General features: G+C 42.6%; 1 protein-coding gene across 4 annotated transcripts in view, besides 1 other annotated feature; it reads left to right on the top strand.

Annotated features, from left to right (window-relative positions):
• The window catches only part of SLC14A2 (solute carrier family 14 member 2), a 515,726-nt gene that overhangs the window by 143,900 nt on the left and 347,000 nt on the right, over positions 1-24,826 (top strand). The gene's annotated exons all lie outside the window — the stretch shown is intronic.
• Positions 23,727-24,292: an enhancer, noted in NCBI's record as "NANOG hESC enhancer chr18:42915554-42916119 (GRCh37/hg19 assembly coordinates)". NCBI's record gives its function as "activates a minimal SCP1, AML or CMV promoter by ChIP-STARR-seq in naive H9 embryonic stem cells {active_cell/tissue: H9 hESC(naive)}" and the evidence as "EXISTENCE:reporter gene assay evidence [ECO:0000049][PMID:30033119]".

Here is a 24,826-nt window from a genome sequence, read left to right on the forward strand (position 1 = left end):
TGGCAGATTATGCAGAGGCCAAGACGTGGGAGATGAGAGCTGTGTCAGAATGGGAGAACAGAAATGAAATAAGCCATTGATGCTGGAGACAAGCTATGACTATCTAAAAATAGTCATGGATACCTTCAAGTGAAGAAGTCTTAGTGAGTGACCAAGTCCTCATGCCATTGAGTCCACCATAGTGGGTGACACATGAGCTCTGGTTCAAATCCTTGCTCCATCCCTTACAAGCTGTGTGACTATGGGGAAGTTATCTAACATTTCTGGACTTCGTTTGGCTCATTTATAAAATGAAAATAATGATAGGCCCTCCATCACTGGGTGATTACACATACATAGCACTTAACGTGGTGTTTTTCTCACAATACATTATCAATAAATGTTAGCTCTTATTATTTTTATTGGTAGGAAAGGTAAATTTGTTATGTGAGCAATATGAGAGACAATCAGCTAAGATTTCGAGATTTTGGTCTTAGATGTGGCAAGATCTCTGATCCTTCTACAGGCTACCTTCAGACTAGAAAAAAAAAAAGCCTGCTTTTTTCAAAATGACAGCAGCTTCGTTTTCAATGAAAATGATGCTAATTACTGGGTATTGACCTAAGATGAATTTCTCTTTGATGAACTCCATACTGCTCTTCAGAAAACCTAGCCAAATCATCTCAAATACCAGGAAGTGTGGGGTAATGAAGCAAATGGGGGGAAAATGTGGATCAGAAAAAATTATTGCTACAAAAATATTTTCAGTAAGTTTGTTCCCTTCATAAATAGTGTGAATGGAATGCCTCTGCAATCAGCTGAAAGCCTGATCTTCGCTGTGGGCTAATTGCTCGTCTGGTTAGTGCAGAATTTAATTTGTGCTATTGTGCAGGCAAGGCTGAGAGCGTGAAATAAACAATGTGTGTTAATTTCACGTTTTCCAGTCTACTTAGCCAAAGAGAGAGCTCAGGCTCCTCTCAGGCCTCACCCCACCCCCTCCCCAGCTTCGCATCCCAGAGTTGCAGACCACAGAGGGGCGGGGTATGTGCTGACTGCAGGTGCAGGGTTCTTGCCCCAAGACCAAAGGCTCAGGGAAGCCGGTTGGCCTCGTCAGTGATGCTGATGGAGGACATACATGGTGCACACCCTCCACCACCACACGCCCAGGGTTGGTGCTCCAGATCTTTCTTCTAAGACAAATGGGCACCTGCTGATGCAATGCAGCTGGCTTTATCCTCTCAAGTTTAATGATGTCCTTGGTCCCCTATGGAGCTTTCACTGGGGCAAATGGAGAGCCACCAAACCGGATGGCATCCATACTGAACAGACTAATTTGATGAGCTGAGGGGATTTTCCTCTGGTGAGGGAAGAATACATATCTTCATCAAGAGGGGGACTAGATGCCCACTTCTAGGATGGGATTGGAGGAAGGCTGGGCTGGCCTCCCTTCCTGCTCCACACTAGGAATATGAGGAATGGGAGCTAAGTCATCCCCACCTTCTTTCTCCATGACTGCAGGGCCTGAGACCCAAGAGAAGTCATTTGCTCAGAGTCATAGAGCAACTAGACTCTTGACTAGGCCTCAAACTCACAAAGACCTCATTCCCCTCCCAGTACTTTCTGCTATACCGTCTCTCATTCAGTCTATATAATGAGCAAAATTATATAGACCTAATGAGAGAATTAAATATCTTCTCCTTGATAATTAATTGTGAGCAGGGATCCTGAAGTAAGGCGGCCTGAATTCAAATCCTAGTTCTAGCTCAGTAATATTTCACAAGCTACAGTGCCTCAGTTTCCTTACCTGTAAAAAGAGCATATAGTCTATAGGGTTATTATGACCATCAAACTAGTTAATACATGTAAAGTGCTTAGAACAGTGCCTGGCATAACTAAGTGCTCAGTAAACATTAATTATTATTAGTGTTACCATTTAGGATTTTTCAACATCTTACCTGTTCTTATCAGAAGATTTTTGTCTCTGTGTAATCAGATATTTCTGTTCCCCTAGAAAAGGGCTTTCTGTTCCCTTACCTTCACTATGCCATCCCTCCTGTTTTTATTGTTGAAAATCTAAGAGGGAAATTTCAGTCTTCAGAAAGGCCTGGGTTCCTTTCTAATTGAGAGAAGAGCAGATTTGAAGTCATGGATGCCCATCCGTGCAATGGCAGGAAGCTTGCCTTATTTGTCTCTGTCTTTCCAGTGACAAGCACAGGCCTGACACAGTGTGTCTTGAATATGTGCCGGAGCACCAGAAAGCACAGCAGAAGAGGCCAGATGTGGTCTTCATGGCCACAGAGGCCAAAGAACAAAGTGAAAAGAAAATCTTCTTGCCCTTGATCATGAGGGTGACTGGTGTTTCTTCTTAGGGAAACAATATCAATCTTATTTTAATCCATTAAAGCATAGGGTAGAGCAACCTTGCCCGTGTCCAAGATACACCACTGCATATGTTCTCAGTGGAATCTCCATAAATAAGTAGTAAACCCCTCCTAGTTAAAATACAAAATACTGAAGATACAGAGATTGTGCCTGTCCTCAGGGAAGCCATAATCCTCATAAGTAGTCATCCTAACCATGATAATGCAACCTCACATTGAAACAGCACTCTGAGGTTTGTAAAGCACTGTGTGGACAGTTTCTATACTGCAGATTAGGACACCAGGATAATGAAAGGTTGAGGGACTTGCCCAAGGTCACACAGTTGGGATATGACCCTATGTCTGTTGCCTTGAGGTCCTCTCCTCTCTCCACTGCACCGATCTATATCTCCATGAAATAAGGGGTATCTGTCCTGACAAACTTGCCCCACTGACTCTTGGCAATTGCAGAGAATAGGCACATTTTTTGATGTACTAGGTGAGGCTGTGTAACCTGGAGATAAAAGAACAAAAATCCTTCAACAATGTTGTAATGTCCTTGGAAGTCTGGGGAAAATTAATAGTACTAGCAATAAAGCAACCACAAGCTAAGGAGCATTTACTGCATGTGAGACACTGGAGTAGAGTTATAAAAGGGGGCGCAGAGATAAGGAAGATACTGTCCCTGCCTTCTGATGCATCACAAATTAAGAAGATAATAAGAGTGTCCACAGAAGCAAACCTCATGTTAGCATGTGGTAGCTGACTACCTGGGTTGCGTGGACTGAATGTGGCTTCGAGTTTGAGAGGAGGTTAGTCTACAAATGCTGGGCTGGAGTTAAGCATACAAAAACAGAACCAGGTAAGAGATGACCCCAGAAGGCACTTCAATGGCTCCCTGACAATAAGAAGAACTGTATCTCACTGCAGGTAGGAGTCATCAGAGGAAGCTTCAGGAGGCAGGGGAACCTACAGGGGCCTCCAGAAGGGAGAAGTTGAATCATTGGAGTAGTGGGACAAGGGATTTCAGACAGGAGTGTCAAGATCAAAGGCACCAGAAAAGGCAGGGTGCATCAGATCTGATTCCAGTTGTGGTCTAATTGGAAAGGTCATTTGGCTGTGATGACAGGCAGATTCTAACACTCTAGCATGGGGAAGATGATTGTTTAGTGCCTTACCCAGCAGAAGGAGGGTGGGGGAGAAAAGAAGGAATGTTTGGGATAAGAACACTACCATCTGAATATTCTACATGACTTCCCTGTTTGGCCAGTGCTCACAGGTTAGACAGTGAGCAAGTGGAGCCTGATTAGACAGGTAAACAAGAGGCTGAGAATTTTCCTGGCTTGGAGGAACCTGAGCAACCCCCATCCCTAATTATATGTTGTGTCTCAGAACCATCCCATCCCATCCCATGGCCCAGTAATACATGAGTACTCCTGACTGGGGGCTTGAGGGTTCCCTAAATGCTTGTATTTTGGCCGTAAGAAGAGAAGGGAATGAGATGAGATTCAAGTGGTCCACAAACCCTCCACTATCCTCAAGCAGGCATCACATAGTAGTTCTCTCCTTCAAGGTTCTCCTGAAGTTCATTTGTAGCTGGTTTTCCCTAGAAGGAAATATGTGGAGCTAAAGGAGAAGAGGTTGGCGTGGAAAAGGTAGCACACAGTGCCTTCAGAAGCCATATTCCATTGCTCCTTTTGAATGAGATGTTACCACAGTGAGAATATAAATACCGCTGGGAGGGGGACCCCATGAATTGCCATCTGCATTTAGGAGAGAATTTGCTTGTTAGACTTTTCTCTGTGCCTCCTCTCTGAGAGCTGACTCTTGTGGAAGAAGTAGGGGGCTATTCTCAGGGACCCCAGAGGGAGCAAGTACCCCACACCCTATGCCATTTGTGCCTCCCTCCCGGCTTGGGGAGCTGTTGAACCAAAGGAGAGCCCAGAGGAGAAAAGTACAAAGCAGAGGCCAGCAGAGTCCCCACAGAAATTTCTGCAGCTTCACAATCTCTCAGCAGGCTAATGTGGGCTCTGTCTTCAGCTTTCCTTCCTGAGAAAGCCCTAGGAAGGACCCAAGGTCTCAGTCCGAAAAGACCCTCGGAGGCAGAGCAAATGATGGCCACCAGGAGGCTGCCTGCACTGCAGTGCATCAGAGGTTGAGATAAAGGGAAGAGGAGGTCGGAGTGTGGGATCTCAGAGGTTAAGTGACCCAGAGGGGAAGGTGAAGGGCTTGTCCAAGGCACATAGCCATTTGTTTCAGTAAATGCATCAGCATGTCTGGCATTTGAAATCTAACATAGGAAATTGGATTTGTCATATGTTCCAAAGAAACTGACTTTTGAGGGCATCTGAGGACCCGATATAAAGGTTTAGAGATCCTGCATTTAGACTTCTCATGATGCGTGGACCTACCTGGAGCTTCAAAAATTTACAAGTGTGAGAATTCTGAAGTGAGGTTTCGAGGAGAGTATAGCAGTACTCTGGGTGCTCTGGCCTTTGCAGTCACCAACTACACACATGACCTGAAGGACTCTTCGCACAGGAAGCTTCCATGGACAGAACTACCCTTCCCTTCACCTCCAGCTCCCAAACCTTTTCCATCCTTCAGGAATCAGTTCAAGGACAGTGCTCCATGAAGGCATCTGCAAATAGCCAACACTAATCTCTGTGCTCTCCTCCCAAGGGTGAGCTAGTGAAAGCACCCAGCTAAAGAGTGTTCACTCCATAGGCCCTGCAGTAATCATGGCTTACCTCATTTATGTTCACAGCAAACCTATGAACTGGGCATTCTTCTGTTCACTGATGGGAAAACTGAGACACAGAAAAACTAAGGCATTAGAACTTAGGTCCAGCTGATTCCAAATTCTGAGCTGTGTACCACAGCTTTCTAATACCTCCTCTAGCCCTGTGTGCATTGTGGTGTTGATATTAAAACCACCTTAGATTATAACTTACCTTGCTAGGCTCAGTGGGAAGATGAAGCACTGTAAGATACACATCCCCTTTTGTTCAGGAAACTTAGAGTCTAATAGATAGATCAAGCATAGAAATAGATAGTGAAGACATGGGGTGCACACACGCACATTATATCATGACATCAGCCCATAGTCACTGAGCATCTACTATGTGCCAGACATCATGCTATGTTCTCAAAGAGCTTAAGGGAGATCTCAGTCTATGCCCCAGTGAAGCTTGTAGTCCACTGTGGAAATTAGTCCTTAAGGAAAACGTTTGCAACTAGCTATGTAATTTACAGTATAAAATGTTAGGCAGGGAGAGAAAGATCCATGAGAGAGAATAACAGGAGCCTGTTTTAGATGGGAAGGTCAGAGAAGGCCTCCCTTCTAAAGTGTCATTTTAGCTAAGATTTGAAAGATGAATAAGAGCTGGCAAAATATAAGGAGGTTGTAATATGGGGAGGGATGATTTCCGGTCAGAGCCCCGAGGCAGGAAGAAACATGAAACTCGAAAATCACCTCTAGCCCAGGCAGCCAGCTGTGTTCCCCAGCTTTTGCCATCCTTTTTGGGTTTCTGGAGCCCCAGGACCCCACACTCTGAATGCCCTGGGCTTGACAGATGTCTCCTCCCCTTCTGTCTCCTCCACTGGTTTATTTCTGATGATGTTATCCACAGCTTCAATCTGAGCTCAGCCTCTTGCTTTGTCCATTTCCTCCTTTGGATCGCAGTGGGGGCTTCTGAGCCACATGGATGATGAGGCTCATGCTTCATGAGCCCCACCTCAAGAGCTTTGGAGCCCCACCTTTGGAGCCCCACCTTTCCTTTGGAGCCCCACCTCAAGAGCTCTTTCCTTGTGTCTACTTCTTCCCAGCCTCAGCGGGAGCTAGGACCTGGGAAAGACTGTAAACTGTATACATTATTTCCTTTTTGATTAGGTGAATAAATAACTTGATTGAGACGCGCCTCTTTGGAGGGTGATGCTGGCAGGCTTCCAGGAGTGGGAGGCAGCTGGCTCCAAGCACCGGGGAGACGGCAACAAAGGCCCAAGGGACAGACACATTGTGGGGAGGCTTGGGGTCCAGCCTAGACCTGGAGAGGACCAGCCAGAAGCACTTAGGGAAAGCAGCCTGCTCCTTCCCTTCCATGTGAGAGGAGGCCCAGGTTTGGGATGCTTTTCTCAGCACTGGGTCATGTGCTCCAGTCCCTGCTTTCCTGAGGAACAAGCTTCTGCTGAGAGGAAGGGCCACAGGCTCAGGGCAGCTGACAACTGTTGTACAGCCCAAGTGAGAGAGTCCGTGTGAAAGTTCTTTATATATAATAGGTATCATTGTTAAGGAAGACCTCTTGGGTGAGGCGCGGTGACTCACACCTGTAATCCCAGCACTCTGGGAGGCTGAGGTGGGCGGATCACCTGAGGTCAGGAGTTCGAGACCAGCCTGACCAACATGGTGAAATCCCATCTCTACTAAAAATACAAAATTAGCTGGGCATGGTGGTGGGTGCCTGTCATCCCAGTTACTCAGGAGGCTGAGGCAGGAGAATCTCTTGAACCCAGGAGGTGGAAGTTGCAATGAGCCAAGATCACACCACTGCACTCCAGCCTGGGCAACAAGAGCAAAACTCTGTCTAAAAAAAAAAAAAAAATTCGCAGGTCCTCCCCAGGCTGGGACATCACTCAGCCCCGGTCAGCATGCTTGCTTCCAAGGAGGCCTCAGTGAATGTGAGGAAAGGCCAAATGCGCCACCAGATTCGGAGCCACGCCTGAGCTCATGGGGATGAGGACATTGTCAAAGGGACTAGAGAATCTGATTCTGAGTTGAATCAGATCCAGCTCAGAGACCCCAGTACAGAGACTCCCGTGCTATCTCTGCAGCAGTTTCCTTGCTCCTGCCAGGTGAGCCTCAGGCTGGCTTCCACGTGAAGACTTCCCACTCATACAATTTCTGCCCACCTTTGACCCTCACCTCCAGTTTCTCCATGAGCCCCAGCTCCTCTTTAGGACCACTGACTCTCCATTCCCTTCCATGCTTTGAGGCTCAGCTCGAAGACAGCCTCCTTGATGAGGATAACCCTACAACCCTCCCTCTTCTGTTACCCACTCCTGTGATAGCACTTACCACCTTGTTATACATATCTGCCTTTCCCTCCAGAAAGGAGGCCTCTTAAAGGCAACATTGGTTATATTCCCAGCATCTCACATAGCGCCAGCATATAATGGCTCTTGTAGGAAGAATTCCCTGACCTCTACCATACTGCCTATCTTGGTTAGCTATAAAATCTCTGTACCCTCGCATTACACTACTCACACATATAACATGATGGGGACTGTCTGTGTATTTGTGTGCACCATCCAGTAGGCCAGAGCACCAGGAGAACTGGGACCATGGCCATCTTTCCATTAGCCTAGCACATGTCTAGCCTCTAGGAGGCATTCAATAAATACTGTTGAGTGAATGAACAAGACAGTCTGGGCTTCTGAAGACCAATTAGGTTATAGACTTTGCCTGGGTTAGATGTTTTATTCCAGTAAACACCTTATTCTCAATCCAGGCCCCCTCCCAACATACTTGATCTGCAGTTGTCCAGAATCCCAACATCATGAAACTGTGCTCACCTCACATCACTGTGCTGGGGGTAGAAGTTGTAGATAAATGGCTTCAGTAGGGTATATTATTGTTTTTTTCCAGAAATGCTGGGTTTTCTCCTTTGCTCTGGTGCAAACAGAACATCAGCAACTAATGAGCTTTTTTTCTATGACATACAAGGAGAGAAGATAAATATAGTGTATCCAGTGGCAGGTTTGGTACTTTAAAAAATTGAGAAATCTGTGAGTGATGTCTTGGAAAAAGCTTTCTTCCCAGGCGTTGGGAGACCAGACTCCACCATTAAATTCCTGTGAGACCTCAGCAGATTCACTGAAGTTGCCTCAGTTTTCCAGTTTGTTTAATAATTGTTGCAAAAATTAAAAAGTACTTTCACAAGTACCACCTTTTAAGTGTTTATGAAGCTTATTCATGTGCTTTATCTCTTGTTTCCTGGACCTGTAAGCTAACTAGGATAGTGGAATTATTATTAATAAGGAGTCTAGACTGGATGATCTCTAATTTTTGGCACATCTTTCATTTTCTAAAAGGTTTGAGTTTAAAGCTTTGTACCCTTTGACCCCTAGGCGAGATCTCTTTCCCAAGGTGAGGCTAACGACTTTCATGTAGTCCAATCACATAAGTCACAAAACCCAAACTCGTCTACATGGAATGGTAAGAAAGAAAATACAGAGGGGCTTATTCCCCAAAGACATGACTCCCTGGTGGAGAAATTTCCCACAGTCATGATGGTCTTTTTTGGCAAGAACGTCTTCTTGCTTTCCTGTAAATCGCAGACTGGGGCTGACACCTTGCAGTGCATTGCACTGACCTTGCCTTGTGATCCTGGTGCCAGGTTTTTTGAGCCTGGCAGGAGTGGTGAGAGTGTCAAGTCTGAGATGGTCTGGACTTGCAGCTGAAGTTCAGTTAAGGACCCAAATCAAGTACTTTCAGCCACATTCCATTGCTTGCTATCATCAGATAAGAAAAGACAGCTATTTTATTATACTATTTTTGAAATACAGTGCTTAGAGAGGTACAGTGGCTGGCCCAAGAACCCCCCAAAATTCAGTGGTCAGGATACATCGCTACAACACCCACTCCTTTTCCAGAAGGAAAACTGCCTTCTCATCTAAAAGTGCCTTTGAACTCTGACTACAACATCATCTGCATAAAGATTGCATCATCAGTGCTCATGGGCTTGAACCGAGTGGAAACTATGCGATTTCACATGGGGAAAATTCTGGGCAACAAGACATTGAACCAGGGTTCTTAGCTGCAGCCCTAGTTAGAGAATTGCTTCCACATTCTGGGCCTGTTTTCTTGTGTTTACACAGGAGAACTGGTTGGGAGAAGTGGTTCTCACTATTTGGTCTAAGGATCGACTGCATCCCAATCATCTGGATCCATGTTTATAAAGGCAAATCCCTGGGCTTCCCCAAGATCTGTTGACTTGGAATATGAAGGGGTAGGTCATGGAAATCAGCAGTTGATACAAGATTACTACGGGATTATTAAGCATACTAAGGCTCAACAACCACAACAAGGGGACCATATGATCTCAGAACTTCCATCCAGAAATATTGTCATACGATTTTATGAATATATCATTACTGTAAGGTCCACAAGAAACAATAGCTAGGAACAGAACTATACTTGTGACGTCTTGATTTTTTATTCTTCACCCATGCATCCCAGTTCTATGTGGAAAGTGGATGCATTTTAAAAAGCTAGTCCATTCTGTGGGAAACTGTAGTCACTGACACATCCTGAAGTTCCCTCTAGGCTGTTCTGGAGCGTGGAGCCCTGAATGGTGGGGTGAGGGAAGAAAGCGGATCTGTGTTCTGAGGGAAAGACAGAGTCCCTATAAACAGCAGTCCCGGAATTATCCTCCAGCGCCCGTGCTATTATAAAGAAGAGCTGACACAGCAGAGTCCGGGGGATGCTGTGTGTCTGCAGAGCAGTAATCACGGAGGCAGGCAGGCTAAATGCAAAGAGAACATTTGCACAAACAGCACCTGTACCGAGCAGTCATCCACTATTTTTAGAGCTGCTGCAAAGAGCAGAGGGACATTTGGAGAGGCTCCTAAAGGGCACCAGTCAGTAGGAAGGTGGAGAGGTTTTGGCATGTTCTGTCTGGCTGATTCTGCAGTGCCCTGTCAACTGAGTCATTGAAGACTTGGGCAGTCTGACATTTTTGTTTTGCTTTGGTTTTTGGTTGAGAATGGGGTGGAGACATGCTGGATGGTGTGGAACAAGGGGGTGATAAAGAGGATTACTCTGATCTGTCAGTGACGTTTTTGATGGCAGAACACATATTTAAAAGTTTAGATTATTTTGATCCTAGAAAATAGAAGAACAGTTTGTTCTCCAGGGCTTAATCTGGAGCAGCCCAAAGCAGGAATAAATGGCAAATACTTTCATCTTATTCATTTGATCCAGCTGCAAAAATGGGATTGTCACATCTCACATTTGTAGATAGAATAAATTATATAACTTAGTGTTGGACATATACTGGTTAGGTCAACATAATTAGAGCCTGGAGCCTGGAGGTTGTGGCCATTTAGACAGAATACCTAAATGCTCTGTGACTCAGTGCATCAATTCTTATTTTCAAATAAGGAATAATAGTGAACACTAATTGAAGGCTTAAAAAAACATTTCCAAGGACAGGCCCATTGACAATTGGCTAATGACATCAACTCCGTGTATAAGAACAGAATGGGACTTACATAACGTTCTGACATGTGGAATTTCCCATCAAAGTGAACACAATCGATTTGATAAATGTTACACATTTGTTTGACCTTTCAGGTAGATTCGCAACACATCAGGTCAGCAAATGTCATTTCCTGATCTACCACCTCCTCTTCTCCCATTTGCAATTAGGAAATTCTTTTTGTTTTTAGCCTCTTCAGGAATGTTGTGTTGAACTCTCATGAGGTATCTGGTCCATTCCTCTCCTAATATGGATTAGCAAAATACCCTTCATCAAGACTACTTCTCAAGCCCACACAGCAATCTATTTGCAGAGTTAGCTTGAAACCTAGATATGTGACTCCCAGCCCAGCACTTTTTTTTCACTTTATCAGAGACACCGAGGTTCTTTGAGTTGGAAGAAACTGAGAAGTCATCCAGCATAACCTGTTATTGTCAATGCTTGAATTGATAAACTGGAGATCACACAAACTTTTTCTAATAATTATTTCGAAATCAAAATTAGACAACAGAGATGAATGCAAAGTTGAAATTATATTCTTTTCGTCCTGTTTGATGTAAAAACAAAACAAACAAAAATACTACCTGGCTGCATCCTAATGAATAGTGGTCTTGAGGTGTGTGATTCAGACCGTATGGACCTCACAAGGCTATTTTTTCAGAGTAAACTAATTATGATGGGAACCAAGCTAGGCTCTTGGTGTGTAAATACTATCTATGTTCATTGATGCATTCTAACTAATGCAAACACATTGAGACTGTTGGAACAATAACCTCAGTAAACTGATTATTTACAGAACTATGAAAAAGCAAAATATGTCTTTTGCAATGTCTCCTCTTTTTCCCAACTATTTATCTCTGTTCCTTGTGTCAGGCCTCTCCCAAGGAGCCACCATTGTGTTAAACATCATTCTTTAGAGTCTTTCTCTCAGCCAGCTATATCCTCCCTGAAAGTATTTGCCCATAAAGATTTAACAAGTCTGGGAAGGACAAAGGGAAGACGAAAGAGAAATGGAGGTTTAAGAAGTATAAATTCCTAAATCTGACCATATTTTTTTTCTCTCCTTCTTTTGATTGTGTTTGCTTTCATTATGGCTCTTTCAAATTCTGCTTTATATTAGGTTGAAGCCTCTAAAATTGCCGTTTTTGTAGTTCAAAATCAGTTAAACATTAGCAGTTTAATAGGATTCAGCCTAATGACATTGAGTCAATGTGTTCTGGGGAGACCAGGGATGTCCCACAGCATCCTAGCACTTCCTGTGTGCCACCCGATTGAATTAAGGTTCCTATCTCAGTGGACTTGTTTGCCAAGGTAGATTCCAAACACCAGTATGTAGTCTCAGCCCTGCCTTCCACCTCCCAAGACCAAAAATGCATCCTGTTTTCTGGGGCATTTGCACTAACAGACATTGAGAAGTTGCAGGTTTTTCTTTGGGTTTTCATCACCCTTCTCAGAGATGACTGTTGAACTACTCTTAGTACTGCATGTAACACGCATGCACTGGAGGGTTCAAGTTTAATGGCCATAGGGAAGGAAGGCAAAAGAGAAAATGTGAAAGAGACGTTATAATTTGAAAGCACAAAAACCCTTTCTTTAGTGGCTTGTGGGGTATATGCCCATCTATTAAATTGGAGTAAGCTTCTCAAAGATAGGTATTGAACTTTCCATGCCCCATATATTACTAGAAACATAATAGCTGTTCAGTAAGTATCTACTGAGTCAAAGTAGAACACTCTGTTAAGGATCCTCAGTAGTGAACCCATAGCAGTGGATCCAGAATGTCCCTTCTCCAGGCATTTTTTTAAACCACGCCATGGTGGCAGCCACTGTTTCCTTGTACTTGTGAAACCAGCTTTGATCCAAGTTTCTTCAATCTTTTTACTCTTTTTCTGCACTCAAGCAATCGCCAACGATTATTTTAAGCAAGATTCACATCTCTAAGTCCTTTTTTATTCCTCCCCCAAGGACTCTAAAAGCAAAGAAAACAAGAAGTCAGGAAAGTTGAAGCCTCTGAACTCCATCCTGGCCTCACCCCATCACCTCACACCCTCCTAGCTTCTGCAGGATAGGCTCAGCTCCCCTTCCTCCCCCTCACCCCACCCCCTGGGGCTGTTACCCTATCCCAAGGAATTCCAGCAAGTCTTGGAACAAAGACTGGCAGCACATGTAATGCCCTGTCTGGACTGAGACTAGAATGCAATTAGCCAGGGGAGGTTGTGAAATTTGTTTTTAAATGCTATGAATGTTTTATCTCCTGACCCTCACCTCCATAACATTCCCCTTTCAGCCACCGCCCCCCACCCCCGCACACACACACACAACCCCTTCACACTGGGTCTTTGCAAAGTAAAGTATGACCTTTAGATTGAGACATTCTCTGTTGCAATATGTTGGAATATGTTTCAACGCCGTAACTCGAGATCTATTTACTAAACTGTTTGGCACATTCAGCACATCCTGGGGGAATTGTTGGCGGGACCTGCGGTGCGTTTTTCACTCCTCCCTGATGCATTACCAGACATAAGGTCATCCCAGTCTAGCAAAGATGGGTGCTGTGCAGGGCTCATTACCTCGCAGCAAGCCAGCCAGATGAGGCCGTGGGATGTTTTCTCTTCATCATTCAAGCTTGAAAGGAAACTGTCAGCCTCCACTTGCTCTTAAAACAATGAAAATTTAGGTGACAGTGCTCTCATTAGCTCAATGGAAATGAAGGTTTCCAGGCAAAGACTTCCCTCTAGAAGTCAACGGGTGAGTCTCAGCTTCTGAGGAATGGGTGGTGTCAACGTCAGTGACCCACACTCGGATGACCAGAAACTTTCAGGATACACAGCTTCTGAGCTGGGGAAAATGGGCAGATTTTAGATAGGTGACAGGTTTTTTCACAGCTGCCCCTTTGCTGGGAAATGGATATATTCATAAGACTGTCTTCTTGTGACTTACATACATTCACATGACCAGAAAACAAGCAAGGGTATTATTACACTGGTGAATCCTCTCCCTAGGAGAAACTCAAACAAAAGTGCCAAGTGTCGATCCTGTTCTCCAGAATTACATTGCAGAATTTCTAATCTAAGAGGGTTTGGTTAATATTTGATGAACCACTTGGATAATGCACAGAATTATGGGAGTCCTAGTAATTGCTTACATTTGTGTAGCACTACCTTCTAGGACATCCATATGCATTATTTTCTTATTTGATCCTCGTAACAGCCGTGTTTAATGGTCTTGGTGAGTATTCAGTCTGTTTTTATAGAATCATAGGAATACTAGAAGTAAAGGTGACCTAAGCTGTAATCTTGATCAATGGATGCTAACCAGGGATGCATGTTAATTTATCCAGGGAACTGTTTCCAAACCTGTGTGCCTGTGTTCCCCTCCCCAACAAACTCCTCAATTCTTCCTGCACCCTCCAAAATACACATACAGGGTCTGGATCAGTGAGTGAGGGGTGAAGTCCAGGCATAAATACTTTTTAGAGAAAAATACGCCAAGTGATTTCAAAGAACATCCTGCTTTACACCACTGCTCTACATTCAGGCTGATCATTCAAGCAGAGATGTGATTTACTCAGAGCCACAAACAATGGCAGAGTTGCATTCACACCCACCCAGGCCTCCTGATTTCTAGCTGGATGGCCTCTCTTTCACACTTTCCTACCATCTTTCTGAATTAAAAAGGGAATTACCAAAATGGTGCCATTTGTTTTAAACTGTCTTTTTTCTAGCCAGAAGAAAAACAGTAAGAGATGGTCTGTCCAAAATATACATATGAGTAAAATTACAAGCACCACAATTCTCCACCTGAATGCAAGTTTTTCACAGGTTTTACTCATCAGTCCCAAAATTTGGCTAGGATCCTCATAAATGATTCCCTTTTTCTCTTGGTGGCACCTCCTTTGGATTCTCTATATCTTCTCAAAACTACAGGAGTATACCATTGAATGTGGGAATCATATTATCAATATCTAAAATGTATAGGAAAGCTACTGATGAAGAAGAGGAAGGACTCCAGACTGCATATAAATTATATTGAGGAGAGGAGCAAAAGTGCTTCTCCCCAACTCCTCTGCCCCTTCAACCATTCCTTTTGAGTCATCTCCCCTACCCTCCTGGAACTCAAAGAAAGAGAGGCTAATGGAACTATGTAGAGGTAAGGTCCTTTTTGCAGACCATTTTACTAGTGAGCAGGGTTACTGTGTGAAAGGGCAGAGTGCTTGTCCTTGTGCTTCCTGCACCCAAATACTAAGGCACAGAGGCTGGCCTTTCCAGGCACGCCTCTTTCCTCATACAGGTTGGATGAGTGGACTTAGGGCAGGCTCTACAAATTTCCTTCCCCCAATTCCTGTCCAGGAGTAGGAAGCCTCGTTGAAGCCTCATGCCTAGACTGTATTTTTTAGTCTAGATTTTAGTAGAGGGTCTTACATGAGGGTGAGGATGGAGAGCAGGAACATAGAAAGTCAGTTTTCCTACAACAGCTAGGACTTCACAGAACCAGACTTTTCCCTTCTCTATTTGAGATATCTCTATATATCAATCAATCAATCAGTCATTCTATCTATCTGTCTATCTCTCCATCCATCCATCCAGCCAGCCAGCCAGCCATCTAGCTAGCTTTCTCATTAGGAAATTCCTGGCAGTGGAGGGAGTGGAGAGTTACCTAGCTCTCCTCTTAACAAAATATGCTCAACCCAAGATGTTCCTGATTTAAGCAAGGTTCTAAGCACCACAATTCCCTATTATGAGCTAGCTATCCCACCTACTTGGTAGGAGCCATAATGTAATTAGTATATTTTTTTTACTCTTGAAGAATGTGCATTTGGGCTCTTTTTCTAGTAATAAGGGCCTGCAAATCAATAGCCCAGTGCTTTTTTGGTAAAATTTACATATAAATTTTACCATTTTTACCATGCTAAATGTAGCCCAGTGTACCATGCTAAATGAGACAGCTCAGTGGCATTAAGTACATTCGCAATGCCATGCAACCATCACCACTATCCATCTCCAGACCTTTTTCATCATCCCAAACAGAAACCGTACTCAAATAGAAACACTTTACCCATTCAAAAACCCTCAATCTCTTCTCCTCTGCATTACAGTCCCTGGTACCCTCTATTCTACCTCTGTCTCTATGAATTTGACTACTCTAGGTACTTCATGTAAGTGGAATCATATACATATTTGTCCTTTTGTGTCTGGCTTCTTTCACACAGCATAAGGTTTTCAAGGTTCGTCTACGTTGTAGCATGTGTCAGAATTTTCTTCCTTTTTGAGGCCGAAAACATTTTGTTTATGTATGTATCCATTGATGGACTAGGCCAGGCACTTTTATTATGTCATTGGTTGGGTGTGATGTATATTTACCTAAATTATAGGGGTAGGAGTGAGCGAAGGGAATGATAAGGCTTGGTAAATTCATAGACAGCCTCTGAATGAGGCTTCATAAACTATAGAAAGATTATGGTGCCTACTTTTCTCTGAACTAAAAATGAGAAGGACATGACTTGACAGATATCATGTTTGTATGGGGATAGCTGAAGAGAATGTTGGAAATATACTGTCTAGACACTTAAGCAGGTTTGGTAAACATAGCCCTCTTGGCAACTGAAAAAACAAAGTGGAAGAAAAAAAAATGTTGTTCCATAAGGATTTTCCTCCTGGAACAAAGGCTTTAGAGCTCTCTGTTCCCTCTCCTCCTCATGCTCCCTTTTCCCAGGCCTGTTTATCTGACTCTTTATTCCTGCCTCTCATATGAAAGCAAGTGCATTCTCCTCCTGAAGGTGCTTGTGTCTGCAGAGCAAAAAGGAAGTGTGGTCCTGGAGTCCCCAGCAAACGCATCTCAGGGTATGCTGCTTGTGGCTCAAGTAGGAGGTCTGTGTTTATTATCACTGAACATCAACCACAGGGCCAGAGACAGGAATGATGGACAAAGCCATGGATACTAGCGCAGGACAAAAGCCAACTCTGTCACAGCATTTTCAGGGTTTCAGTTGCACTGAGGTTATGCCCTGAGACAGCTGCTCTTGAGCTCAGATAAGACAACTCAGTCTTGAGATTCATGAAGTCTCAGTAACTCCCTCAGGGGCTGCGTCAACTTCTTGGAGGGGTATTTGGACATCAAGAAGTTGATAGAATAACAATAGGATTAAATTTGTGATTTGGTAAAGAACAAGTTCCCAGAAAATCTTCCTTCTCTTCCTTGACCCTAACTGGTAGATTACATGTTATGTAAGAAGCATATGCTTAACACTAAAGATGGGAGCTCCTTCTGCAAGGTGATGGGGGAGCACTGGAGGAGGAGCCAATTGGTTTTTATGAAAAGCAAAGGAATTATGAAAAGCACATTGCAAATCTTGTTATTTTTCTTATAATACGTTCCAAACCCAAACAAACTCAAAAAAAGTATGTGTGCAAAAGCAAACCTTAAACCATTTTGCGAATCCCGCCCTAGATTTCACATTTCTCCAGTGAAGCTCACATTCCTTTATTCAGATTCCAAAAGTAGAGATAATTTGTTCCAAATGTTTCCAAAGCCGACCAGCAGAAGGGCCTAACGATTTTTCCAGAGCTGGAGAAAACTGTGAAATTTTCTACACTCTAATGGAGCATTCAAAGTGAAAGAAAAAAAGGAGACAAGTGAGGGGAAAGGGAAAAGAAATGTTTTGATGATCTATTTGTTTATTTTGTTACGGTTATGGCTCTTTGACAAGGTCTGGGGAGAGATGCTGATTGCCAATGTCTTATTTCCTTTGGCAAGGTAGCATTTCTTCTGTATTATGGAGCAGATTATGATGGAGGAAATGGCCATACAATTATATATTTCTTGCAAGACGGTGAGGCAAGTTCATTTCAAAGAGACTGAACTTGGGGAGCCTTAGGGATGATGAGTGTGTATGTGTGCATGCTGGCAGCACCCTGCCTCTAGAGTGATCCCTGTCCTCCTCCCTAGCATATCTTCAAATAACCATCAATTTGCAGACTACAACACCCTCTACAAATAGAAAAGACTGTGTCCCAGGGAAGCTTCCATTTAGAAATGTGCTTGAGCATTTGGAGCCAAAGCTAGTGATTGACACCTGAGGTAATTTATAAGGAGGGGGTAAGACTCAGTGGAGCAAGAATGAAAGGTTTTTTTTCCCCACTTTTTCTCAATTGCCACCAGCCTGTGTTGTTATCCAATTGTTTAAAATATGTATACCTTGACTCTGCTGTGAGATTCTAAATGCCTGCAAGTCTAGAAGTGCATCTTTCTCTTCTTTGTAACTCCCACAGTGCCCAGCACAGTGCTTGACCAGAAATAGATGTTTATTTGGGAAGGAAAAAGATAGAAGGAGATACTATACATGCATGGAGCCAACACAAAGAAACAAACAAACAAAAACTTAGGTAAACTCAACTAGGCAGACACCCAGTTTAAATTCCAAGTCATCATGGTTTGTAATATAATAAATAATACTTGTAAACCTATTATCATCCTTGCTATCATGGGCACCATTTATTGAGGTTATGTTGTGTGCAGTGACAAGTGCTTTATATACATACTCTCACTTAACCTTCATAACCATTCAGCAAAGAGAAAATAATATCTCGTTCTACAGAAGAGGAAACTAAGGCTCAAAGAATTAAATAATTTTGGATTTCAGTGACTGAAGGAGGGTCTGAACCTGCTTGGTTGATGAGTCTTTGGGTGTAAGCTGAGACCTGGAAAGCAAGCAGAACTGATATCCCAGCCAGCTCATTCAGTAGGGTCAAGCAAGGAGCTAGTGAGACCAGAGCCATGACTGTGACCTCTGGTGTTTGTGTTACATCAAGACAGCCTCTTTTTTTGGCTTCCAATTGTACCCCTAAGCCTGTCCAGCTGGACTTGAAATTGGTCACAGACAATTGGTCACAGGCAAAAGAGTGTGGGTAGCTGGGGGAAAATTTATCATTAGGCTTGAGGTTGCATTTCAGAGCACACGGCCTTCTGATGGGAGGCTGGGAAAACATTTTTGTGTGTAAGTGATGATGGTGCATGGTTGCCAGAGGCTGAGGAGTGATGAACGTGGAATGTTAGTCATGCCCTATCTTTGAGTGATAGAGGATATACTAAAGAAGGCAGAATGCCTGCCCATCCCAAATAGCCCACAGGAACATGGAATATGGACTTCATGAGTTAGCACACATAGATCCTTTTTCAGCTCTGCATGCAGATGTGAGGTCATGGATGTGATGCACCCAGGCAAGTCTTCACTCTCCCGCCAGACCCTTAACACGCTGTCCCTCGGGCCATTTCCAATTCAGAAAGTCTTGTATTAGAGAAAGAGAATATTGGGCTTGAAATAAGAAGATCAAGATTCTGGATCAAGTCTTTCATTGACACTCACTAGCTAGAGAAGCCGTTGCACTGAGTCTACAATTCCTGAGCTAAAAGTTTGGGATAATCTCTGCCTTCTTGAATTTATGTGGTTGTTGTGAGGATAAATTGACACATACCACACAAACATGGAAGTGCTTCATGCATTTTCAAAAAATACGTGATTGAAAAAATATACAAATGGTGATATAACATAAAACCCAAGGAACATAAGAAAATACATAGGTAAAATTGTTGATATTTTTGTGCCCCAAATTCTGTAAGACTTTTGGATAAAATAATTGGAGACATATATGACACCATTCAACCCACAACAGCCATATTCCTAGCAAGTACTGCATCGATGTTCAGGCATCCGTCTTTAGAATATACGGACATCTAACTCCCTTTGTCTTCAGATTTGGGAACCCAGTGAAGTAAAACCTAAAGCCAAGTCTCCTGTAATATCCCCTTATACAAATACTAAATTATTTTAAAACTACATAAAAATTTTGACAAGCAGCATGGAGCTGCTCTTCCCTCAGCAAGTTTCTAAAGATGGCAAAGAAGTAACCCTCTCTTTTTTAGTTTTTACATAATTTAAAAAATATTTAATCCTGGCCGGGTGTGGTGGCTCACGCCTGTAATCCCAGCACTTTGGGAGGCTGAGGCAGGCGGATCACAAGGTCAGGAGATCGAGACCATCCTGGCTAACACGTGAAACCCTGTCTGTACTAAAAATAAAAAAAAATTAGCCGGGCGTGGTGGCGGACACCTGTAGTCCCAGCTACTCGGGAGGCTGAGGCAGGAGAATGGCATGAACCCAGGAGGCGGAGGTTGCAGTGAGCCGAGATCGCACCACTGCACTCCAGCCTGGGTGACAGAGCGAGACTCCGTCTCAAAAAAAAAAAAAAAAATTAATCCTTCAAACATACATAAAATAGAATAGTATATATGCCCTCATGTACCATTACTTGAATGATCCTTAACATTCTAGCACTCTTGTTCCATCTATTTTCCTGCACCAAAAACACAAACACAAAACACTCAGACCTGCTTTGAAATATTCCAGGAAAACAAATATATTTTACTTCTAAATATGAAGTGACCTCTTCTTGTCATTGGAGTTCAGGCCATATTTGACCTTCCTCTGTGCAGACAGCAGGTGGGGTTAACAATGAGAAGCCTCATCTCTGCTCTTGAGTGGCAGCTGGATGGGTCTAAAAAACTTAGCTATTTGTAAAGAATAAATCCTGTCCCCTTCAAAATCCATGTCTACTCTTATCTCTCTTCTAAAACTTCTCTGAAGTTAAGGGAAGCTGTAACATTCCAATCAACTAATGTGGTGGATTTACTTTGTTTTCATACTGCTGGATTTCTCCTTGGCAATCAGTTCTGGTTTCAAATACAGTTGGCCCTCTGTATCTGTGGGTTATACATCTGTAGATTCAACCAACTGTGGATCAAAAATATTTGAAAAAAAATTGAACCTGTACTAAACATGTACAAACTTCTTTTCTTGTCGCTATTCCCTATACAACATAACTATTTATATAGAATTTACATGTATTAGGTATTATAAGTAATCTAAAGATAATTAAAGTTACATGGAAGGATGTGTATAGGTTATATGAAAATACTACACCATTTTATATAAGAGAGTTGAGTATCCATGGATTTTGGTATCCGTGGGAGGTCTTGCCCAATCTCCCACAAATACTAAGGAATGACTGTATATTATTGTGCCCACTAATAATTAAGGACCAGGTCCTGGATGGTTCCTGTAGGAACTTCTTTCAAGAGACTTCCAAAATAGTAGAAGAGAGGAAATAAGACAAATACATAACCATACATCAAAGAGAATTAAAAACCCAAAGAGGAATAAAAAATTGCAAAGTTGAGTCAAAGTCTCAATCCAGGTTGACAACTGCTATCTTGGCCTGCAGAGACATTTTTGGAATTATGGTTCCTAAACTAAGTCCAGAGCTTAGATTGAAATAAAAGTGCTGGCAACCATTGGGGTGACACAATTTTGTACAAGGAGAACAACATAAGGGCTTGGTCCTGGTGACATTTGCAAGTGAATTTCCCAGCCACTTTTCTCAAGATTCAGACCGCCTTTGGGAGCAAATGCAGTCATTCAGATCCTGACTATTAGTCTTTCTATTTCAAAGTTCTTTCCTGAAGAATTCATAAAAATGCAGCTGGGGTAAATGGGCTGAAATCTCCTGAGCTACACAGCTCTGGCAATTTATCATTCAGCAAGGCTTTTCTCCAACTCAATTTGGCTTTTTTCTCTTTGCTAATAATAGAGTGTTTAGGGTGGTTTGTGGTTTCAGGTTATCTCCTTCCTCAGCCAAATTATACTCCCAAATGCATCAGTATCTTCTGGGGAATCATATCCATTGACAGAAGAAGTTATTTGCCTTCTCAGAGGATCAAGCAGAGGAGTCTGGAACCCAGAGATGAAAATATTTAGATAGAGGCAAAAAAAAATCCTTATTTGTAATAGTGGCTACAGTATGCAATAAAGCCAGTGACTGACTCCAAGAGTAAATCTGTAGGAGTTATTATACTAGAAAAGAGATACTTGGGAAAGAGTCATAATACAGGTAGGAGCTATCTAACAGAAATTTTTAAGGGTATTTTCTTGAAATTCAAAGCATGGTTTAATGCCCTTTAATTTGTATTGACAGTATAATTTATATTCTACAATATGCCTAGAAAATAACAGTAGATCTGTACCAGAACTGGTCTTGAGAAATATTGTAGAGTCAGTAAATTGCAATCAGTTAACTCATGAATCTTTACTGAAGGCTCATGAAGAACATCACCTTTTTGCTAGGCATGGCGGGAAGTTTGAAGGGGTGTAAACTCCTGCTCTGTCTAAAGGAGCTTATGCCACTTATAGCCAACTAGTCTTTAATACGCCTTGTCAAATTAGAAGGCAAGGTTAAGCTAAAGTTTGTGCTTATTTTGGGCAAGAGGATCTTGACTCCATTCATTAATTTAATAAGTGTTTATTGAGTGCCAAGCACTGAGCTCTGTACTAAGCCCACCCAGTATTGACACCTATTAATAATAATCTTTGGAATGTTTTTTAACTTAAAAAGTGTCTGTTGAAATTGATGAAGCCCAATTTTATAATGAGAACTATATATAGTTTACTGTACATGGTGGTATACCATACAAACAGGTTCTGACATTAGTCTCAGTTTCTTCTTGTGGAAACTAATAATTTAAGGTAAAGGGACTATTTCTGGCATCCTATTTGTTCAGCATCCTATTCAAAAGCCTGTGTTGCTTTTGTTCCTTGAGGTGTGGGCAATGCTGAATGGTTTGCTCCAGGATTTGTAGGTAATCAGTGATATAATAGAAGAAATTATATAAAAATTTAATCGCAGTCATTGCCCTTTATTGTAAGTGGAAGTCTGCATATTAGGACCCCAAAGAACAATTGCATTTTGCTTTGTCTATTGAATGAGAATTTCCTGTTAACCCTCCATTACAAACACTTTAGACCCCAACCAGTAGCATGAGGAAGCACTGGAGACATTGGGGATGTGCATGCAGTAGCCACATGTTTCAGTTCATGTGACAGCCACATATATTCCTCTTTTTTGTTTTGTAATTCTGGAAACTTCCTGTACTACAGTGGCAGTAGTAAAAGAAGTTAGCAAATTCCCATTACACCACCTGAAGAATAAGAAAGAAAGTTCTTAAGCACTTTTGTCACAATAACGTATAAATGTATTTACTTCTGTGGGTCCATCTTGGTCTGTAAAATCACAGAACTTTGGAAATTATCTTTTGAATGTACATTCTAGATGACCCCTCACATTTAGAACCCATTTTGCCTTGATCTTTCTTTTCTTTTATCCATAAAATAGGTTAAAAATTTTTGCTCCTCTGTGTCCTGGAGTTGTCCTGAGGAGTAAATGAGTCAGTAGCTGTGAGATGCTGGGAGCAAGCCTGCAGCACAGGTAGCCCTAGGTGAATGGTGACTGTGATTGGCATTCATCTTTTCTTTGGGATCTGCACACCACAGAGCAGGTGCCCCCCAACGCCTGCTGGCGGAGGGGTCTACCCAGAAAGCCCTGTGTTCTGCCTGTCTCTTCCACCTCCCTCTTCTCGCTAAATGTTCACCTCCTGACTTGGTACTGAAGTGCTCCCACAAGAATTTTGGTGAATGAGTGTGCAGTTTTTATTTACATATGTATATATTTAAACAGCTGTACAGAAGTACAATTAATATAAAATAAATTGCACTTATTAAAGTATGCAATTTGCTACCATCACCACAATCAAAATAATGAAGTATCTATCTTCCCCCCAAATTATCTTATGCCCCTTTGTCATCCCTCCTTTCCATCCTTCCTACTCCTTTTCCTCCCCTGCCACCCACTCCAAGCAGCCTCTGATCAGCTTTTTGTCACAACAGATGACTTTGCCCTTGCTAGAGTTTCGTATAAATGGAATCAACACAGTGTGGCATCTTTTTCATTCTTTCCTTCTTTTATTTCTTTTTGTCTAGCTTCTTTTACTTAGCAAGATTACTTTGAGATACATCTAAGTTGTTGTATGTGTAAATTAGATGCTTTTTTGAGGACATCTATTGAAGGTAGATTGATTGACTGCAGTAGAGGAAGGAGGCATAAACACTATTATATGCAGGTATGAGAATGCAAAGTGAAGTGTTTTGTATCCTGGGTGTAACCACCAGTCTTTCATGCCTCACATCATTCATTTAAGCCATAAGAATAGATGTCAATAAAGATGGCTCTCAGCAATAAAGACAAGAACAACTTGTGGTGAGTATTCTCTATTTAAGAAGACATGGAAATACAGAATATACCCTATAGAAATTTCCAAAATAGCTAGAATTATTTTGAATTTTGAAGGCTAAGGAAGTCACCCTAAGAAACCTGAAAAACTTCCCTTGCCAGAATGATTCATTCCCCACAGGTTCTGAGCTGCCAAGGTTTTACTGCATTTTACTTGTAGGGTTTCCTCTTCCAGCCAGGAAAGGAGGAGCCTCTCCCTGATTCATTGGATAAATGGCTCCTTTCAGAGGAAGGTGCTAAATTCTTGCTGGTTCCCTGGCCAGAACAGGTAGATGAAGCGCTGGGCTTCCTCAGCATCTTTGCAAGCTTAATGGGGCGATAACGAGGAGAAAATGGCTTAATCTGTGTTTTGGCCTCCTTCTCGCCAAGCTGGTTGGAATGAGAGAGGCTGTAACTTTGGAAAACCTAGTCATAAAATAGGTTTTTTAACGTGGCTGTTTTTGGCAGGTTTAGAAAGACCCTAAAGGAGCAAGTGCCTGCCAGCTTTTGCTTTGAAAATGGACCAATTAATTAGAAAAATGAGGGGTAGCAAAGGAGATGCAACATGTACCACCTGGACACCCACTTTCTTGTTGCCTTGTTCATAAGGAAAACACTTAAAAGAAGTGAATCCAAAAGAAAACAAAAGGGTATTTGAACTGGGAAAATGTCCTCTGGGCAGTAGCCTAACTGGATATAAAAGTTGAGGGATAGACCCTTGAGAAAAGGAGCTTTACAGGGGAAGCAGCAGGGAACCCTAATTAACATCAGCCTGCCATAGTTAATAATTCTGCACTGGGCAGGAGGCTGGGCCAGGTGATCTCGGAGGGCCCTTTCTCCCACTGAGATCCTAAGATGCTGATATTTACAGCACAATATTCAGAACCTAGAAATCAACTGCTCTCTGGTGGTGCACCTAGTAATGTCTCTCATTTCATCAGTTTTCCCCCTGGATCTTGCCTCTGTCCCCCTGTTACCTCATCGCCAACAGAGCAGGAAGAGTACATTCATAGATCCCTGAGTCACATCTGGAGGATATGTATTGGCCTCCAGCCCTGGGCAGATGTTCTGGGAT

Source organism: Homo sapiens, chromosome 18 (genome assembly GCF_000001405.40).
Source record: "Homo sapiens chromosome 18, GRCh38.p14 Primary Assembly".
Classification (NCBI taxonomy): Eukaryota; Metazoa; Chordata; class Mammalia; order Primates; family Hominidae; genus Homo; species Homo sapiens.